The sequence below is a fragment of the Homo sapiens genome, chromosome 10 (genome assembly GCF_000001405.40).
Source record: "Homo sapiens chromosome 10, GRCh38.p14 Primary Assembly".
NCBI classification, from domain to species: domain Eukaryota; kingdom Metazoa; phylum Chordata; class Mammalia; order Primates; family Hominidae; genus Homo; species Homo sapiens.
Genome location: NC_000010.11, coordinates 64,504,234 through 64,525,280, shown reverse-complemented (window position 1 = coordinate 64,525,280; position 21,047 = coordinate 64,504,234). Strand labels below are relative to the sequence as shown.

The 21,047-nt window shown below is 36.1% G+C and overlaps 1 long non-coding RNA gene across 4 annotated transcripts in view, besides 1 other annotated feature; it reads right to left on the bottom strand.

Moving 5' to 3' along the window:
- Positions 1 to 21,047, bottom strand: part of LOC124902439 (uncharacterized) — an 820,351-nt gene that overhangs the window by 167,659 nt on the left and 631,645 nt on the right. The window lies entirely within an intron of this gene.
- Positions 18,073 to 18,597: an enhancer, noted in NCBI's record as "NANOG hESC enhancer chr10:66266441-66266965 (GRCh37/hg19 assembly coordinates)". NCBI's record gives its function as "activates a minimal SCP1, AML or CMV promoter by ChIP-STARR-seq in naive H9 embryonic stem cells {active_cell/tissue: H9 hESC(naive)}" and the evidence as "EXISTENCE:reporter gene assay evidence [ECO:0000049][PMID:30033119]".

Genomic DNA, 21,047 nt, shown 5'->3' with positions numbered 1-21,047 from the left:
GCGCCAGGACAAAAAAAGGCAGGAAAATTGAATAGAGAGCCTCCAACCCACATCCTAAGGTCAGGAGCTAAGAAGCACCTGCTGACAGCAGAATCTGCCTTTCAGGTAGAGGAACACATTTGGGAAATTCTTTAAACTGACCCTACAGGGCAAAGAGTGTGAGGGGAGGTAGACTGCCCTTTGATCTCCACTTTCTGAGAGAAAAGTTGTCAAAAAGTACAGTGGCATCTGTCCTTCATGAAGGCAGAGCTCTAAACCCAGCACACAAAGCAAAGGTACCTTAAATGTCACTTAGATTGTGCACAGACGCACTATGAATGATTTTATGCTTCCAGTCTTGAAAGTTATCATTTTGTATATGAGCTTTCAGGAGCCAAAATTTCTAAGGAACAAAATAAGAGTCTATAGACACAGTCCTAGCCATTTATACTATTCTGCCTTTCTGACAACTAAGAAAGGCCAAGCAATGTATAAGGAACAGGTGAAAATTTTACAACATTCCTGCTTGCCTGAAGGGTTTTTACTCCTCTCACTTTTAATTCTAGGTTTTGATTGCCTTGATGCCTACAGTGTTGTGAGTTACATAAAATGGTGGAGTTAAGCCATTTCTAAGTTAACTTGTAATGAGAATCTACAGTATATATTTAGCTTGTAGTGTATGTAAAGTATATAGTATATAAAATCAATATATTGAGAACAATGTAGACTTTAGAAAGAATGAGATAATGTAATCACTTCAGATATCTAAATGGGAGACTGAAATTATATATTATGGGATGAAAGAGATAGAGAATGTCTTTCTTATTTATAAAGTCTCAGGACGTCACCTCAATATTTATGAGCTCAGGATCAGTGGTATTGCAATGTGCCATTCTCTCTTCCATGCAGAGTAATTGCTGGGATAAATCATTATTACAAAATTTAGGTAATTATATTTTCATTTTTCTACATAATATATGTATATGTATGTCTATTTTAAATATAACTACATACTTATCATATATTCCATGTCAACAGTGCAGAATTTACTCCTTGTGAAACAATACAGAAATAGGATAAATTATACCCAGGTTTATTAACAGTACCCCATTCTATTTCTACACATCTAAGGATTTTTAAGTCTCAACAGGTTGCTGAATGATTTCATGAAGAAAATAATTATGATCTTTTCCTTCTTCACATTTATTACCACATGTAATTATAAACTACAGTTACTGCATTAAATGTGTTTAAATCAGTACGTAATTAAGTATTTCAAGTATGTATGTTATTAAGTGAAATTATTTTCTCTGAGTATAATTTTAGGTGACCTTATAACATTACAGTCCACACTTTTATTCAGAATGGGTCCTGGTTAAATTAACCACAGTGATTTTCAGCATTGTGATTTTAGAAAGCATGTATGCTAAGAAACACAGGGAAGGAAGTTGATATTTATAAAATATTTCAAAGGGAATGTGTAACCTAATTCTCAATTGGTGAGTTGTTATGCCTTTTATCTACTCTGTTTTAAATGTATAAGGAAACTTCATTGACATATGATTTATTCACTGAAACATTGCCCTACAAATTATGACACTGTGTTTGAGGCACTTGGGTGGTCCTAGGTGATCTGTTTTTCCAGGGGTAACTTTTCCCCTTCAGTGTTGATTTGCTTCAAAGATGAGTCTTAGACAGCATCTGAAGTTCAGGTAGTTTATTCTGGCAATGTTTTTAAAAGATAACAGCCAGAGCAGGCCGGTAGCATGGGTCAGATACAGTCGGTGCCAGATGACAACCTGATAAGAGACTATTCTCTGAGTTTGGGGGATTCTTCCCCCTTTCTTATACCTGTAGTCAGTCTGGGTCAATTACCAGGGGTTTCTTTCATAAAAGGAGTTCAAGCTATTTTTGTTAAGGATAAGCTTTGCTTTAAGGTTTATGAGAGTTCATTAGTACTAAGGTAATCTTGTCTCCTGGAAATCTCTGTGCCAGGGTTGGAAACCCTTGGGCCAGGTTGCATCATATTGCTAAGTAACACTTAGCGTTAGCCCTGTGAGATGTTTGGGTGAGCCTTATGGCCATCACTAATCCGATAGACACTGTATGTCTCATAGAGTATACTACAAGATACACTCCACTTCTTAACTCATTTCCACTGGGAAAGAGAGGCCAGGAAGAGCACAGCATGACTTTTTACTGCATCATCTCCTGCCTCAACCCTGCTTCTTCTTGTAACCCGTGAATATTTTCTTAGTGGTAACATCTCCCTACATCTGAAATCACCTTTGCCCTCTCCCTCTCACAGCATCATTTGCCTCCCACCCTCACACATACAGTCACTAATTACAACTCACACTTCAGATACTTTGTTCTATTCCCACTGGGACTCTCTGTCTCTTCTGCATTGGTCTTTCCTGTATTCGTGTTCTAATGGGGTTTTCTGCTCAGTCTTTCTTCCAGTCCAGTTTGAACCACTATCGGATCAATCTCAATAAGGCACAGCTCCAACCAGCCAACCAAAAACATCTGTTACTCTCCCTACTGTTGTTCTTCACATTTAATGGAAACAAAGAGTAGAAATATTATGACATGTTCTCTAACCGAAAAGCTATGAAGTAGAATTGAAAAGAATGATGTAGAAGGCCACTATATTTTTAAACAAAAACTACAAATTATAAAATTGTGCATGTTTGTGAAAACATACTTTTAAAAGTCTGTTGGAAATGTTTGTCTTTTGGGTAGAAGGAATTACTCTGGACTCATTTTCCAGAGTAAAACTGGAAATATCTTCACATATATCTTCACATATATCACAAATATTTACATATACAAATATGTAAATATTTGAATTCCCCTCTGTAAAATATATTAATTTTATATTTAAAACTGTGATTTAGAAATTTAAAAATTTCTTTAAACAATTCCTTCTTTATACATATGATCAAAATTATAATGACATTTAGAACATAACCATATTAGATTATCACACATTAGAAAATTTTGAAGTATACAGTACTTTACTCAGAACAAAATTAAATATGTAAACACTGTCAGACAGAAAAATAATGGAAACTGTGAAACACATACGAAGACTGACCCAGGAATCTGGTAGATCATTGTGGATTGGTCCAAAACTGTGGCAGTGGAGTTAAGAAAGACGTGGAGAGAGACTAGATATATTTGTTAGAGTTAGAGCTGATCAGAGGTGTTGATGAATTGAAGTGGGAGGTAGGAGAGAGAAATGTCAAGGATTACTCCCAGCTTTACAAAATGAAAAATCAGGTAGATGGAAATGTTTTTTCTTGAGATGGGAAATACTGGCAGTAACAATAAGAGAGAAGGCAGGGGGGCTGAGAGATGTCTTAGAGACCTCCAAAAGGAAATGTCACATACACAGCTTAATCTATGTGCCTGGAGATGAAAAGAGAGATTAGGAATAGAAATAAATGTCGGAAAAGTCCCATCTAGATGTTATATAAAATCCTCCTTGCAAATGAGATAAACTAGAAAATATGTCTAGATGGAGAAAGGAGGCCAATATTAAGATTTGAGAAACGAGAAAGAGCCAGTAAAGAAAAGTGAAATTGAGAAGTCAGGTAGATAGAAAGAAATTAGGAAAGCATGCAATCTCAGAAATAGAGAGATCGACTTTTTTTCTTGTTGTTTTTCCTTTTCTTTTTGGTAGAACATCAACTGTATCTAGTGTTGCTGAGTAGAGAATAAGATAATGATTGAAAGGTACTCATTCAGTTTCATTTCTGACAGTGTGGTAGATTAAGTTCCTGAAAATCCTCACACTAAGGATCACCAAGAAATGCTGCATAAAATACAGCAAACATTGAGCTCATAAGAAAGTGAGGAAAAGACTTAAAGAGCAAAATTCAAGGAAGAAGATGCAAACCAGAGTAGAAGATGAGCTGAAAAAGCTGCCTTGAAGGAACTAGCTAGCTCAGTAACCCAGAGCTTTCAGGGGACCATGCAAGATGAGAGAGCTGGAACTGAAACCCTGGAAGGGCAATAGCTTTGTTGAAGTAACAAAAGTATGCATGAAAAAGATCTTTCTCTAGGAAAAGAGAAGTTGTAATGGAAAGTTCTGTCTCAGCTAGGCTACAGGGAGGTGACAATGGTTTCCTTTGAGCATCTGTGGCCAATGAACTGGACCCCCTTTCATATCTGATTTGTATTTAGAATATCTTCAGGGAAACGCAAACTGATGTATTAACTTAAATGGTTGGTTTGCAGCCTGTAAAAAGTCATTTTACTGCACATCCACTTCTGTTTTCCCCATAAGACATTTTGTATTTCATCAAAAAAAATGATAGCTTCTAGAAATTGCTTAACCCAGAATGACTCCTTTCCCATCAAGTTTCATCCCCATCCCTCTGTTCCACACACACACACACACACATTCAACCAGACTGACACTACCTTGCCCACTGCCTATGTCTGACACTATCACATTTTTCTTTTTTGAAAAGATAGAGCTATTTTTAATGCTCATGGTAGTAATAATCATATTTTAATAAGTACATGGGCTATAAGATCCTTTTGAGCTGAAACAAGGTCAGATTATAAAACAAATGGATCTTTAATTTTGTGATGTTAAAACAGAAAGGATCTCAGAGATGGGCAAAGAAAAAAAACTACAGTCATCCCTTGGTATATGTGGGGGATTGGTTCCAGGACTCCCTGTCCCCCACAACATATACCAAAATCGGCACATACTCAGGTCCCACAGTCAGCCCTGCAAAACCCGCATATACAAAAAGTTGGCCCTTTGTATCCTCAGATTTCACATCCCACAAATGTCGTATTTTCAATCCCATTTGGTTGAAAAATAGCCCCATATAAGTAGACCAGTACAACTCAAACCCCTGTTGTTTATGGATCAACTGTATGTACACGAAATAATTTAAATAGCCACAAAACGTTTGCTAAATACATCTAGATCCCAGAGTAAAGGATATCAAAATCCGAGGAGCAGAAGTTTCTGAACAGAAATATAAGCTGAACTGATAATGATTAAAGTGCGAATTATTCTTTATTCTCTTTTACTATTTTCCATGATCTAAGTAGTTACGTGGCATGTTGCTTCTCTTATAAAAGAAAAATTTCTAAAAAAAAAAATAAAAAGTGGAAAAAATTGATTTCATGATATGCACATGAACATGAAGCTTTACCACTGACCACCCAGGAGAGAGACTCATTCTGAATTCTTTGGCAGTTCCTTATCTCTGCTTTGCAGTCCTTGGGCCCAAGCCTACCTTCCTTTAAAGTAGAGAAACTACCACATAATTTTTCTGACTTTTGAAAGTCAGTCTTGCCTTATTGTGTATAAATTTAGATAAGCATGCATATTCACAGACAGCTTTATATTTTTTTCAATTTACCTAGCATTTGTTTTTTAATTTCTATAATTAGAAGGAAAAATATCTTCTTAAACACTGTGGTCAGGCAGTTATGTGGATGGCCCCACTTTTGCTGACTCTTCTCTCTACTGTCAATTGTTTTGAAATGCATTCAAGCTTTTTAAAAATATTTTAGATCTTTTGTTTAGTTGCCTGAAACAATTAAGGTAAGTAAGAATCTGAAACATTTTAGCAAACAAATATTATGATGGGAAAGAAGAGCAGAATCTAAAATGACTCAGACACAGAAACCTTATGGCCCAAGCATCATTCAGGATATGTGCTGACAATGCATTTTACTTAAAATGTCAAAGAAATAACGTTAAATGAAAAAAATAGAAGTACATAAAAACTCAAATATGCCATGAGCTCAAAAAATGGACTTTGTTTGGAATCAAAGCAACCAATATTTTCAAATAAGTATGTTTGGGATCACCTTTGGGGTAGTTTGGTCCTGAAGTGCGTCCTGAATCATTCATAATGGACTCTCCATATTCACTTGCAAGACCCTGCCTGATTTCTCTCTGCACACCGTATTGCTGAATTCTGACTTGTTTATAAGTTGTTGGGAAAATTGTCCAAGACTTGGGAACAGGAAAAAGAGATGATTCAGCATCATCTAGCAGACATTCTGGGAATTACCTGATCCTATTTGGGGAGGGGGTAGGAACATCTGATGAGATTTGTGATTCACTTAGGCTAGTTTACAGCTAGCTCTATATACATAGAAGTTAAGTTACAGAAAATTGATAAAAATGCAACCAGTTAAAGCAGTTATAGTTGGCCCCTGAACAACACAAGTTTGAATTGCACAGGTCCACTTTTCTGTGGATTTTTGCAATAAATATATTGAAAAAAACTTTTGGAGACCTGCAACAATTTGAAAAAACTTACAGACAAACTGTGCACCCTAGAAATATAAAAAAAAAATCAGAAAATGTTAGATATGCCGTGAATGCATGCAATGTAGGTAGATACTAGTGTACTTTATCATTTATTACCATAAAATATACAAAAATTATTATAAAAAGTTAAAATTTATCAAAATTCATGCATACAAAAACAGATAATACATGATGACATTTGCTGTTGAGAGAAATGTAAACAAATGTAGATTCAGTATTAAACTGTAACTGCATTAAGTCAACTGTAGTACATACTGTACTAGTGTAATAATTTCATAGCCACCTCCTGTTGCTACTGTGGGAGCTCAAGTGTTGCAAGATCCACTTAGAACACCATGTGACACTAATTTCCCAGTGAGCAGTCCATCTGTCCAGTAAATTGCATGTTGAAGTAAAAAGTGATCTCTCCCAGTTCTTCGATATTATTCATTGTTTTTGGTGGAATACCATAAAGTTTCAACAATACCATGGAACCCAAATGAAGTGCCACCAATGATCCTAGACGGGCTATCAAGAAGCAGAGAAAAGTCACGATGCTACAAGAAAAAATTGAATTGTTTGATATGTACCATAGATTGAAGTCTGCAGCCGTGGTTGTGTACAATTTCAAGGAGACAATTAACTCATCTTTTAAACAGAAGATGTAAACCTATGGTATCAAGAGATTCAGTACAGTACTGTAAATGTATATTCTCTTCCTATGATTCTCTTAATAACATTTTCTTTCCTCTAGCTTACTTTATTGTAGGAATACAGCATATAACATACAAAATATGTGTTCATCGACTGTTTATTTTATCAGGAAGGCTTCTGGTCAACATAAGCTACTAGTAGTTAAGTTTTAGGGGAGTCAAAAGTTATACATGGATTTTTGACTTTGCAGGGGTGTTGGCACCCCTAGCCCCTGTGCTGTTCACCAGTCAACTGTACATTACTTTCATATGAAAGTAATGTGAATGAATTTTATCTACTAGAAGATGTTAATCTCTGCAAGACAAATCTAATGGGGAACTCAGCATCAAGGTTCCTGTGTAGCTGATCCAGTTCAAGAACATTCTAGGCCCCTCATCAGATAACTAATCCTCTATCTTGCCAGTTCCTAATCTTAATATAGTCTTGGCAATTTGGCTACTATGCCAATGTATTACATAGAATCTTCCAAGATTCAAGTATCAAAAACAAATTAAGCTTATCTCAGTGATTGGGCTTTATTGTGAGGAGCATTATTAAAAGTGGAGGGGCCGGGCACAGTGGCTCACATCTGTAATCCCAGCATTTTGGGAGGCTGAGGCAGGCAGATCACCTGAGGTCAAGAGTTCAAGACCATCCTGGCCAACATGGCGTAACCCCATGTCTACTAAAAAATACAAAAATTAGCCAGGCGTGGTGGCATATGCCTGTAATCCCAGATACTCAGGAGGCTGAGGTGGGTGACAGAGCAAGAATGCATCTCAAGAAATAAAAAGAAAGTGGAGGGAGGAGAAAGACAAAAAGTTATTTATTCCATCATATACCCAGACTCATGAAAACTTGACAACTATTAAAAACTGAAAAATCTTTCAGCATAATATACATCACATTTTTTTCTTACCCAATGACATTTCACTGGAGTGATTCATTAATCAATTAACAATAGATAACATTAACTGAACATTTGACTATCTTTCTGGCACTGTAACAAGCATTTTACATATATAATCTCATAATCCTCTCAACCATGCTATGAAGCAGATACTTCATATTCACTTTAAAGATAAGGAGTTTAAGGCGTATAATGTTTAAGTCTCTTGCCCGTGATTATACAATTTTTGCAAGTAGGAGAGCACAAATTCAAATTCCAGTGGTCTGGGTCTAAAGCCTTAGCCCCAGCATCTTTATGTTGCTCCTGCTTCTTAATTTGCCTCTTAATTTTTCTTACTACATTTTACTCTTTTTTCTATTTTAAAAAAACGAAGCCCTGAGCTCCCAGAAAACAGTAACAATTTTTTAAAAACCTACTGTTTTGTGTCTTAAGAAGTGGTTTAACACGAAGAATCATCCTTGGTTATACAACTTAACTAAGACAATGTTCTTTCTTCCTTGTGATTGGTAAGATGTGTGGATGTCTCCCTTGTTTACTTGTGACAAGACCAAGCATAACCCTCTCCCCTTTGTTTCAACGTGTTAACAGGCCTTCCTACATCCTCCTCTTTAACTGATTAGCTGACATGAGGACTGTTTATCCCCCTGAAACTAAATGTGGTAGGCAAAATAATGACCCGCTAAATATGTCCACATCCTAATTCCTAAAATCTGTGACTATGTAAGCTTACATACAAAGGGGAATTATTTTTCAAATGGAGAAAAGGTTGCTAATCAGATAACCCTAAAATAGTGAGATTATTCTAGATTACCAAGGTGTATATAATCACAAAAATCCTTAAATGTAGAAGTCAGAGTGAAAAAAAAGAGGAACTAGAGAGGTGGCCTGACATTGCTGGCTTCAAATATGGAGGAACTGGGCCGTGATCCAAGGAAGGCAGGTGGCCACTAGAAGCTGAAAAAGAGAAGTAAATGGACTATTTCCTAGAGCCTCCAAAAGGAATACAGACCTGCCAACACCTTGATCTCAGCCCAGTGAGATGTTTTTCAGATTTCTGACCTTCAGAACTGCAAAATAACAAATGTGTATTGTTTTAATACGTTAAATTTATGGTAATATGTTACAACAGTAATAGGAAACTAATGCACTAGCTAATCATAGAAACACTATTCAGATAACTGACAGAAACTTCTCCTACTTGCAAAACTACTGCAGCTGTAAATCACTCCATCTGCAACTTGTTTGCTCCTCCCCTCAAAAGTCTAAGGAAAAACCAGTCTGTTGAGAAACTCTAATCTTTGGATCCTGCAATAACCTATGTAAAGTCATCTCCTTAGTTGTCTGGTGCATTGTGTCTTGGACAATTTGGTGCCACACCACTGATAGGATCAGACCTCACCTTTGGGTCCTCATTTCCTCCTAGGTAATGAAGCCCCTTAGAGGGCCCTCTGATCCTTTCCTGACTGGTGATCTAAAGACCCAACAATGAGTCTCTCTCCTGGTCCTCTGTTCTGGACTCTTGTCCCTCTGCAGCACAGTAAGGATTTTGATTCCTTTGAGTACTGACTAAATTTTTGGTGGTGGCTTCTTTTGGTTTTATGGTCTGACCATTCGATGATTTCTATAAATGAGTAAGTGGTTCATAGAGACCTTCTCTTCTTTGGGTGAAACATAACAAAGTGTCTGGTTTGCTAGACTTTTATGTTTGTCTGTTTGTATATTTTGAGCTCAAATCAATTAAGAATTCATATACACTAAGAAGAGACTATCTCTTTAATAAGGACTGGCAAATTTTGTAATTATGTATTTACTCTTACCCCAGGACCAAAAGTCAATAATTAAAGCTATAACCTCTCTGTGTACAGTCATTCTGTATCTGTGGGGCATTGCTTCCGGGACCTCTCATGGATACCAAAATCTACAGATGCTCAAGTCTCTGATATAAAATGGCCTAGTATTTGCATCTAACCTGCACATATCCTTCTGTATACTTTAAATCATCTCTAGATTATTTATAATACCCAATACAATGTAAACACCATATGAAGTGTTGTATTGTTTAGGGAATAATGACAAGGAAAATAAATTTGTACATGTTCAGTACTCAAATTTTTTAAATTATTTTTAATCAGGTTGATTAAATCTTCAGATGTGGAACCCATGGATACTAAGGGCCAACTCTACTTTTATATGTCTGTGAGTATGGAATATTTTTCTACCTCTGTGTGGCATTACCAAACGAGATTATAAAATCTCTTAAAGAAGCTTTGTTCTGACTGGCTTAAGAAAATGCTTATATAAGCTAAATATTCCTAAAATTTGCAAACATTAGGATTTAAATATTAAATACTTTCAATGTGCTATATAAATCATATAAAAACTAATTCAAATGCCTTAAGAATTCAAGCTCATGTAATTGAGGTAAATCTTTGCAAAACAGACAAGTTTAATCTTATTGGTTTACTAAAAACAGCTGTCTGCTGGGCATGGCAGCTCACGCCTCTAATCCCAGCACTTCGGGAGTCTGAGGTGGGCAGATCACGAGGTCAAGAGATCGAGACCATCCTGGCCAACCTAGTGAAACCTTGTCTCTACTAAAAATACAAATATTAGCTGGGCATGGTGGCACATGCCTGTAGCCCCAGCTACTCGGGAGGCTGAGGCAGGAGAATTGCTCGAACTCTGGAGGCGGAGGTTGCAGTGAGCCAAGATCGTGCCGCCACACTCCAGCCTGGCGACAGAGCGAAACACCGTCTCAAAAAAAAAAAAAAAAAAAAAAATCAGCTGTGTCTTTAGCATTAACTATAACACGAGCTTATGCTTTTATTACGTTTGTGTGGTTCTTCCTAGACTTATATAGGCTTACTAATCAAATAAGCTAGCCTGTTTTATTTGCCAAATGTTTAATGTGACAGAAAAAATTTAAATATTTGTTTAACCAAATTGAATCATTATTTTGACAAACTTTATTTCAATAGAAACTGTATTTTGTAGTATGTGAGTTTTTTGTTTTTTGTTTTTTGATTTTTTTTCTTTTTTTGAGACAGAGTCTCGCTCTGTCACCCAGGCTGGAGTGCAGTGGTGCAATCTCGGCTCACTGCAACCTCTGCCTCCTGGATTCAAGCTATTTTCCTGCCTCAGCCTCCCGAGTAGCTGAGACTACAGGTGCCTGCCACCACGCCTGGCTAATTTTCGTATTTTTAGTAGAGACGAGGTTTAACCATGTTGGCCAGGCTGGTCTCAAACTCCTGACTTCGTTATCCTCCCGCCTCGGTAGTCTCTAAGATTTTTAGGTAATTTAAAACATTGAACTAATACTAAATTTACTTAATTAATGGATATACATTAGATAACTAGATTATCAGTAAAAGAATGCTGAAGTATTATTTCCTAAGCATAATTTTAAGTTCAGTACTTTTGTCTCTTATTTGTATATGATACAGAGAGACTATGTATATTTGGGTCTGTGAACATGTTCACTTTTGTCACTTTGTTGTACTATAAGAAATGAAAATGGCTGTAGTAAGCTATTAGTTTTCATGAACTCTGCTGGTCTGCTGAAAAATACTGGTGTGTGACAGGCAAGGTACAATTAATCATTTCCTAGTTTTAACTGTGAAAGAGAAGTTACTTTGGTTAAAAATTATAATCGATATATGTGTTGTACCAGGAAACAATAGTGGCAGTAAAGGTAAAACTTTGTATGCAAAGTATGAAGAATGTGCTTTTGTTAAGAGAAAAAAAGATCATAGTTTTGTCCTAAAGAAAAATGACCAATTGCTCTGGAATGACAAAGAGGAAAGTGTAGGACAAAACTTGAACGGATATAGAAAGTTGTAGAAGGTTTTTGGAAAGAGAATCTTATTTGCTATGGTCAAAGCTGGCTAAGGTTTAATGGGTTTATCTATTATGTTTTCAAAAATAATGTGCTTCTTAAGATTTTTTGGTTTTTCACATTTTTTGGAGTATTGGTCAATAAAAAGTTTTTGTTGGAAACAGTTTTTCTTTATCTTCTGAGTAATCTGCCTAGAAGGCAGGGATTCTGTGTATTATCAAAATTATTCCGTCTGTTGTATGTTGATTTTATCATGCCCTTGATTATTTAATAAAAGTTTTCTCAATCTTGAAAGGGCTAAGATTTTTACAATATTACCTCCAATGTTTCTTTCTAAAATCTTTTATTGTTACTTAGATTAAATAGGTGCCAACTATTATTTCCCAGTGACCCATGATTTTATCTTAATCAAGTATTCAACTCTCCTAAGAACTTCTGATGTTCTGCTTTCCTAAAATTGAATTCTAAATGACATCTTTTGCACCTAAAGCTGACTTCAAGATTTCCCAGAGGCCTTCTGGAAAACCACAAAGAATTGTTTTCTCTTACTTTCTAAAAAGAGAGATGCTAGATAAGTAGACCCATTTGATATGTTACTACTGCTGAGTTGTGTGGGAACCACTGCCAAATCAGAAGGGATACTTAACCTTCCCTGGGTTAAATTCATACAGGCAAATGGTTATACATATTTCAGGAATTAGGTGCTGTATGGAAAGTCCCTGGATATTTTTCAGTGTATTAGCTGTCAAAGATATGTTTTAGAGTCCTGGTATTGCTTTGCCTAATAGTAGATAATGAGTATAGTGCTATTGGCCATAATTACAGATATTTTTTAAAGTTTAACTTTGTTACAACTTTACCTCTTTAATTTGTATCTAGCATCTTCTAGCCTGGTGGTTTGCAAAAGGGCATTCACATCACTTACTTATGGGGTTTTATTAATATGCAGATGTTCAGGACCTACTCCAGAACTGTTACATCTCTTTAATTGAAAATCTTGATATATCCTCGGTACACTCTATATGTTTGGTATATTCATGTTATACTAAGTCTCAGAATTATCATAGATTATATCTGAAGGGTTTTTTTCTTTGTAAAGATTATGTACCAATTTTTATAAATTAGATGCTACATCAAGTCTTCTTTAAAAACAGGGTTAAATATTATATTTTAAGATATTTTATCAACTGTTTTTATTGATTTTCTTTGCCTGCCACAGAAAACACAGTTCTTTGTCAATTGCATGATTTTCATAGTTAACTCTTATCAGGTCTTTACCTCTTGAAAATTATCAGCAATAAATTAACCACAGTTATTTTAAGTTTTGTCATCTACAGAAAGTGTTTTTGTTTAATTTTGATGCTTCTCTAAAAGTGCTAGCTACAAGCCAGAATGTTTTGACTGTAATAAAGGATGGTCTCAGAGCCCCATGACTATGCCAAGTTCTCTTGGGTACCATCTTCTGATATTATAGTATTGCTTTAAAAACTTTAACATCATACCAGTGCACTGAGTCAGGACTTCCAGATTTCTAGCCGAAAAGCAGATGGGTTCATGAGACTGATAACCCATAATCAAGTGGAACAATAATTAATTACACAGGACTGAATGAACTGATGAGAAATAATTCTGGTTTTTGTTTGAAATATTGTTGTGTTATAATTCTCTTTTGGGGATATAAGAAACTCTCTTTTCTCCAGTGATATCATCTATCTGTATCTTTAGCTATACCTCATAACGATTTAATGGATTATGCTTTTGTTAAAGGAAATGAAATATGTATCTTTATCTCCCTGTCTGATCTTTTCAGAGTTAAGTATTCTTATTTTCTTGGCAGCATAGTTATATGCATGGGTTCAATAAGAACCTGTCCTCCTTTTAAAGAGCACACATGGAAACATTGGTTATGTGACCAAGTCTTTGCCTGGAATGTCATATTTGAGAATGATGCTCATTGAATTAATTATAACCAGACACTTTTTTTAATATACTTTAAGTTCTGGGATACATGTGCAGAACATGCAGGCTAGTTGCATAGGTATACACGTGCCATGGTTGTTTGCTGCACCCATCAACCCATCATCTACATTAGGTATTTCTCCTAATGCTATCCCTCCCCTAGCCCCCGACCCCCTGACAGGCCCCGGTGTATGACGGTCCCCTCCCTGTGTCCATGTGTTCTCATTGTTCAACTCCCACTTGTGAGCGAGAACATGCAGTGTTTGGTTTTCTGTTCCTGTGTTAGTTTGCTGAGAATGATGGTTTCCAGCTTCATCCATGTCCCTGCAAAGGACATGAACTCATCCTTTTTATGGCTGCATAGTATTCCATGGTGTATATGTGCCACATTCTCTTTATCCAGTCTATCATTGATGGGCATTTGGGTTGGTTCCAAGTCTTTGCTATTGTGAAGAGTGCTGCAATAAACATACATGTACATGTGTCTATATAGTAGAATGATTTATAATCCTTTGGGTATATACCCAGTAATGGGATCGCTGGGTCAAATGATGCTTCTATAACCAGACACTTTTAAAGGCCTATGTTTGATTCGATGAAGCCAATGCTTACAAAACCTTCAGAAAAATGGTCTGGTCTTACTTGCAGATAAAATAACCTTAAAGAAAGGTCACTTCCTGACCTTTGCTGCTTAAGTCGCTGCACCCATCAACCTGTCACCTACATTAGGTATTTCTCCTAATGCTATCCCTCCCCAACCCCTGCCCCAACCCCACGACAGGCCCATCATTCTCAGCAAACTAACACATGAACAGAAAACCAAACACTGCATGTTCTCACTTATAAGTAGGAGTTGAACAATGAGAACACATGGACACAGGGAGGGAAACTTGTGATATTTTGGAAACCTCGAGAAGAAAATAATTTAATGAAATGTATGGGTGCTGAAGGTGAAATATTATGATCAATTCTTGGCTTAGATCCATAGCCTGAGAAGGTTTTTAAAGTCCAAAGATTCGTGATAAAACTTCCAGCAAAGCAAATTTAAGAATGTACACAGTATCTAGTCCAATGTCTGGCACGTTGGCCTTGCCCAGTAGTTATTTCTTGAATAAGTGAGTACATAAAAAGTCTGTTAGCACTCTCATTTTTGGTTCAGTCAATAAAATATTTAATGAATTGGTATAAGTTGTTCTCCTAGGTTCTTGAGACACAAGGGTAAATAAGAAAGGCATCACAAAAGTTACAGTCTGTTCAATCTTTAGATAAGCATCCAGAAATCAGCCTTTTCCTCCTGTCTCCTAAAGTTGTCTTTATAGACACATTTTTCTAGAAAAATATTTGATAAAAACTTTCCTCAGGGAGAACAACCCATCCTGGTATGCAAAGTTATCTCTAAATCTACATAGATAACAGAGAAGTTTTATAGGAGTTGACAAAAATGTAAAAAATAATTTTAATAAGTGCAAATATTCAAAGGATCAAAGTTAACCAAAAATGTATGAAATTTTAATTTTGTCCTTACTCCGACCTATAAATATACTTTAAATAATATTTCTTCATAAAGTGTAATTTAAACCAATGATATAATGAGTATAGAAAATGCTTGTTTAATTTAACAAACCTGCCCAAAATGGACTTATGTGTATTACCATAATTTGCAGCATATTTCTTTTATCCTAACATAAATTTTAGGAAATTAAAATTTATGACTTTTCATAAGCAAAAGAACTTTCTTGTTCCAAATAGATCATTTAAATTAAGATGTTTGTTTTTTTATCTTCATTTTTTAGGTTATTATTTTTATATTTTTCAGCATCCTGGAAACTTGTATGATAGTCAGAGTATAATTAGGTGAAAGTGTTATGGTAAAATAACCAGTTAAAATGAAACCAGAGAATGCTATACTAAATAATATAGCTTTGATAACATTTAATATAATTTTTTGTTAGCTTATCAATCAAAGGTTTTAGACAACCACATTATCAACATATTAGTTGTTTCTTTGAATTTGCCAGGAAACTTGAATTTTCCTTGACCACATGCTGAAATAATTTCTGTTCATGGAAATTAGTTGGCTTTAGATGTTGTTTGGTTGTAAAATTATGGTTTACCATTATTTTTGTTTGTTTATAGTTAATTAGCATTTTCATTAGCTGCTTAGCATTCTTCCCACTACAGAAGTGTTTCTGTAAATTCTTCAAAACAAGCAACTAAGAAAGAGAAGAATGATATTTCAACAAATACATATACCCTTTAAAACTGTATAAAACGGGCCGGGCGCGGTGGCTCACGCCTGTAATCCCAGCACTTTGGGAGGCCGAGGCGGGCGGATCACGAGGTCAGGAGATCGAGACCATCCCGGCTAAAACGGTGAAACCCCGTCTCTACTAAAAATACAAAAAATTAGCCGGGCGTAGTGGCGGGCGCCTGTAGTCCCAGCTACTTGGGAGGCTGAGGCAGGAGAATGGCGTGAACCCGGGAGGCGGAGCTTGCAGTGAGCCGAGATCCCGCCACTGCACTCCAGCCTGGGCGACAGAGCGAGACTCCGTCTCAAAAAAAAAAAAAAAACTGTATAAAACGAAAGTAGGAACAGAAATTATCCAAGTTAAAAAACAGATGATTCATCTGGACACTGAGATATATGATTACATTTATTGAAAACACTTCAAAAAAAAGTACAACTTATTGAACAAAGTTATTGCAAGGTCACTTATTACTGGAGATAAGATCAGCGTTAAAACCTACAATAAAATCTAAATTTAAAGACTTCCTAAACTGGGGTTTCTACAATTTTCCTTAATGATTTTTTTAAATGTAAAACTCTTATTTTCTAACTTACATTTCTCTTGTTGCAATTATTTTGGAGTCAGATTTAGAATATATTAAAATATTTAGTCGTAGCAACTTTTTTTCAGAGGTCTTATGTTTACATCTAAACTGGATCTGAAGAGGGTTTTGTGTGTTTTTTGCCAGATTTGTGAGCCTGCATGCTTTCTGTCAAGCAGCAAGGGGTTGTTAAAGTCTCTTATTTAATAAATGACCCACGAATAAATGAAAATGATGGGAAAAATGTATGCCTACCATACCATTCTACATTCTACACTTCTTGTTATGCATCCTTGACCTGGACCTGCTATTTAAAGACAGCACTACCTTGCTGATATTGACCAGTTGGAATCCATTATGACTCCAAAGCAAGTCTAGGATTTCAAATACAGCAAATTTCACAGTCTGAGGCCTTCATTCACAGGAAGGTAGTCTCTTATTTCTGCCAGGATAAGATAAGAAACCACAACGGAACAAAGATAAGAAGTGCTATTCCCTGGGATGGAGGGAAATATCAGTTGCTAGCAAGCCAGGGTTTTCATCATGTAAGAATTTTCAGCAGATTCTCTGGCCTTAGCACTGAGACCACTTCAGACCAATCTCCCTGCACCTTATCAAATGCTAAGCACAAGCACTGAATTCACAAATACCACACAAATGTGTGGTTGGAGTAGGAACACTCTAAAAGTCAGTTCCAAAAATGCACACAGCCCACAGCCCCCCTTCAAATAATGCATCTTGTGAAATGGGGTTGCTGTAAATAGAGCTCAAGCTTGAACACTGTAAACACTTGCCAAGAAAAGAAGCAATTCATAGGAATGGTTTAATCAACCCTAAATTATCATCAAATTCAGCTACCTCAAATTTTGGATGCTGCCATCTCAACAGTAAAAATCGAAGGTCTGATTTGTTCTTGCTTAACGCAAATGTGGTGGGATGAGGGAGGTGGAGCTGCCAAAAACAACAGCTTGTGAAAATCTGATCTGAAGTTTATATGTTTCATAGACCTCCACCCAAACAAGATAAATATATAACTGTAAATCTTGCAAATTTTATATATGGAACTGTGGAATGTATTTGTTGAATATTATTTAAACTTTAATCATTTAAAATAGTAAATTGAGCATAGTATATGATTCTACTTTTCACAGAATCTATTTCTTTCTAAATGTGACCCTTATGGGGTGCTCTCCTCTGCCCTTTCCATTACGCTCATAACACGAACTATGTACACTACAGTTTTTATCACAATTGTATCTGTGATTGTGAGCTGCAGGCAATAATAAGAGTTTTAAAATCTAAGCAAAAATCACCAAGAGTTAATCTAACTTTTAATAATTTGATTGGGAAACTCATTCCTACCCTACAGTAGGGGTAGAAATGCCTTTCATGGTAGAAAACCTATAGGCTAAACTGAGATTCTATAGTTAAAAATTATAGAATCAAAAAGGAGAATTAAATATACTCCTCTACAAGCTTAAGTGACTTACTATCCATATGGCAGAGGTGTAATCAGGGAGCCTTAGTTGAGCACCAAAATGTGACTATAAAAATGCTTTGTATATCTATCACATGCATCCGTGTGAAGAGACCAACAAACAGGCTTTGTGTGAGCAATACAGCTTTCTAATCACCTGGGTGCAGGCTGGCTGAGTCCGAAAAGAGAGTCTGGGAAAGGAGACAGGGGTGGGGCCGTTTTATAGGATTTGGGTAGGTAGTGGAAAATTACAGTCAAAGGGGGTTGTTGTTCTCTGGTGGGCAGGGGTGGGGGGGTCATAAGGTGCTCAGTGGGGGAGCTTCTGAGCCAGGAGAAGGAATTTCACAAGGTAATGTCATTAGTTAAGGCAGGAACCGGCCATTTTCACTTCTTTTGTGATTCTTCACTTGCTTCAGGCCATCTGGATGTATACATGCAGGTCACTGGGGATATGATGGCTTAGCTTGGGCTCAGAGGCCTGACAATATCTATGTCTTTATCAATATGGAGAGAGGGAGAGAGAGGTGGGGGGAGCCTCTTATATTATCAGTTAACCTAATAAATGGATACCCCAAGGTTATTTATATTATATTGTATTATAGGAGGGTAGGAAGTGTGAGAGTCAGAGATAAGATTAAAGATTAAACCTGTAGACATGCACTAAAAATTCAGTGTCTCTTGTGTCTCTTGTTTCTGGCAAAAAGGAAGGTTATAAATAAATTCTCTTCAAAGAAATAAACTATAAAATGATCATAAGTTGAATGAATGAATTTCAGTCAGACTATCGTACCTCAAACAAAATAGCTTCCTAGATTGAAAGACTTGATATAACTTTTGAATACATTAAGGCATCTAAAAAAGACTGTATTAGAAGGCATGGTGGGTGCGTCTTCCTTGAAAATATGAGAGGTAAAGTGGCAGAAGCAAATATGGGTGCCCATCCTAGCCATGCCCACATAGGGAGGTGTCTGGGCAAGCAGACTGGATTCTGGTGATAATGAAGAAAATGCAGCATTAGTGGTTGAAAATCAGTGGCCTAAAGGTGGGATGTTTCCTCTTTTATTCTGAATTTACCGTGTCGATTTTCACAGTATCAACAACTAAAAATAAAACAAAAAACAAATTGTAAAAAACCTTTGAAGGAGAATCTGATAAGACATAAATAATTTGAAGTTTCATCCAATTTCACATTGACAGATTCTTTTATAAAATTGGATTATCTGGAAATATGGAGTCTATGTCTTACAAGAATTGACTAGAACTGAGCATTGGGCTGCTCCCTGTGTTGGTTTACACACAGTCTCTACTACTCCTTGTTTTACCCTTCACACTAAAGCAATTTTGATAGCAGTGACTATCATTGCCCTTCCACTATTTTCATATTAACTTTTTTAAAAACAGTATTTCTTATATTATGTTCCTGTCAAAAGTAGGAAAATGAAAGCAGCTACAAGGAGGGAAAGCACTGGTCATGCCCTGATTAACCTCTACTCCAAGTGACAGTTATGTTTTTAACAGTCAAGTAATAAATTCACTTTGTTTTATATGTAAGTTGACATCTGAGTAAAGCCCATTTTGGGCCACTCACTGTAAGGAATGACCAAACCTGCATATTTGTAGAGTGATGAATTCACTCAATTAATGTCACCTTGTGGAGACTGTCCTGGAAGTGGTTTTGATTCAGAACTATAATAGATTCTTTTCCAAGTGTGTGTTATGTGGCAAAACTCTGAAGACACAGCAGCCAATAATCATTGTTGATCACACAGAACAGCTCGTTATCTAACTTGTAATCTGAGTCTCAAATTGAATAAATGTATGAAAGGACTTGTAAAAATCATTGAGCCCAAAAAGTTTAGAAAATTTGTTGCTTTACAGTGAATATTTGGGGCAATAAATAAAACAATGAATCTGCTTCATCACAATAATGTTGTAAAGGCCAATTTTAAATAATTTATTGTTTGTAAGAGATAATGTGTTAGCTCTTACCAATGCCGGTACTATACAAAAAAATTAACTTAGAGTAGCTAAGAGATTTGCAAAAGGAAGTATGCTATCTTCTACCTTTCTTACTATGTTTCTATCCTGCTAGTTTTTGTTTCATTTTAAGTGACAGTGCATCTGAAAATGACTCCTCATGCCGACCAACTAATCCTTTTCTCTAGTCTCCTCCCTTCCCCAGTTAGAGATCGCACGCGGTGGCTCACACTTGTAATCCTAGCACTTTGGGAAGCCAACGGAGGCAGATCACTTGAGGCCAGGAGTTTGAAACCATCCTGGCCAACATGGTGAAACCCCATCTCTACTAAAAATACAAAATATTAGCCAAGCGTGGTGGCACGTGCCTGTAATTCCCAGCTACTCGGGAGGCTGAGGCAGGAGAATCACTTGAACCCAGGAGGTGGAGGCTGCAGTGAGCCAAGATCATGCCATTGCACTACAGCCTGGGTGACAGAGCAAAATTCTCTGTCTTGCTGTGTGTGTGTCACACACACACACACAAATCACATGAATTACACAATAAATTATTTAAGGAAATTGTATTAATTATGTATTTATGACATGCAAACCCCTGGTTTTTTTATTCTTTATTTAATGTTTATTGTTAGACAAAGATCATGTGTAGAATAGGAGTATAAGAAAATATAGATTAAAAATTAAAAGGAGAGAAATGAATGTGATTTATATTCCCATCACCTAGGTAGATATAAGTACTATTAATATTTTAGTATAGATTCCTCTAGATACATTTTTTAATTCTCTGTATTTATTTTCAGTAAAATTATCTTTGAATTGTCAATTTCTTCTAAATTTTAGAAAACATAAGTAACATCCATGCTTGCTAGTTAATTAGATTGCCCATTTCACAAATACTTTGTGACTCTTTCAGCATCTGTGTCTCTAAAAGGTAAGGAAGAAAACAAGGTGGCATTTTCTCAATATCAACCAGATATTGACAGAAGGCAGGAGAGTGAAACCAGGAAAAACTTAGAGGAAGCATTTGAAAAGGAATAATAATGTCTTATCCTCTAGGTCTAAACAGTTTGTTGATTTGAAATCTCAAATTATC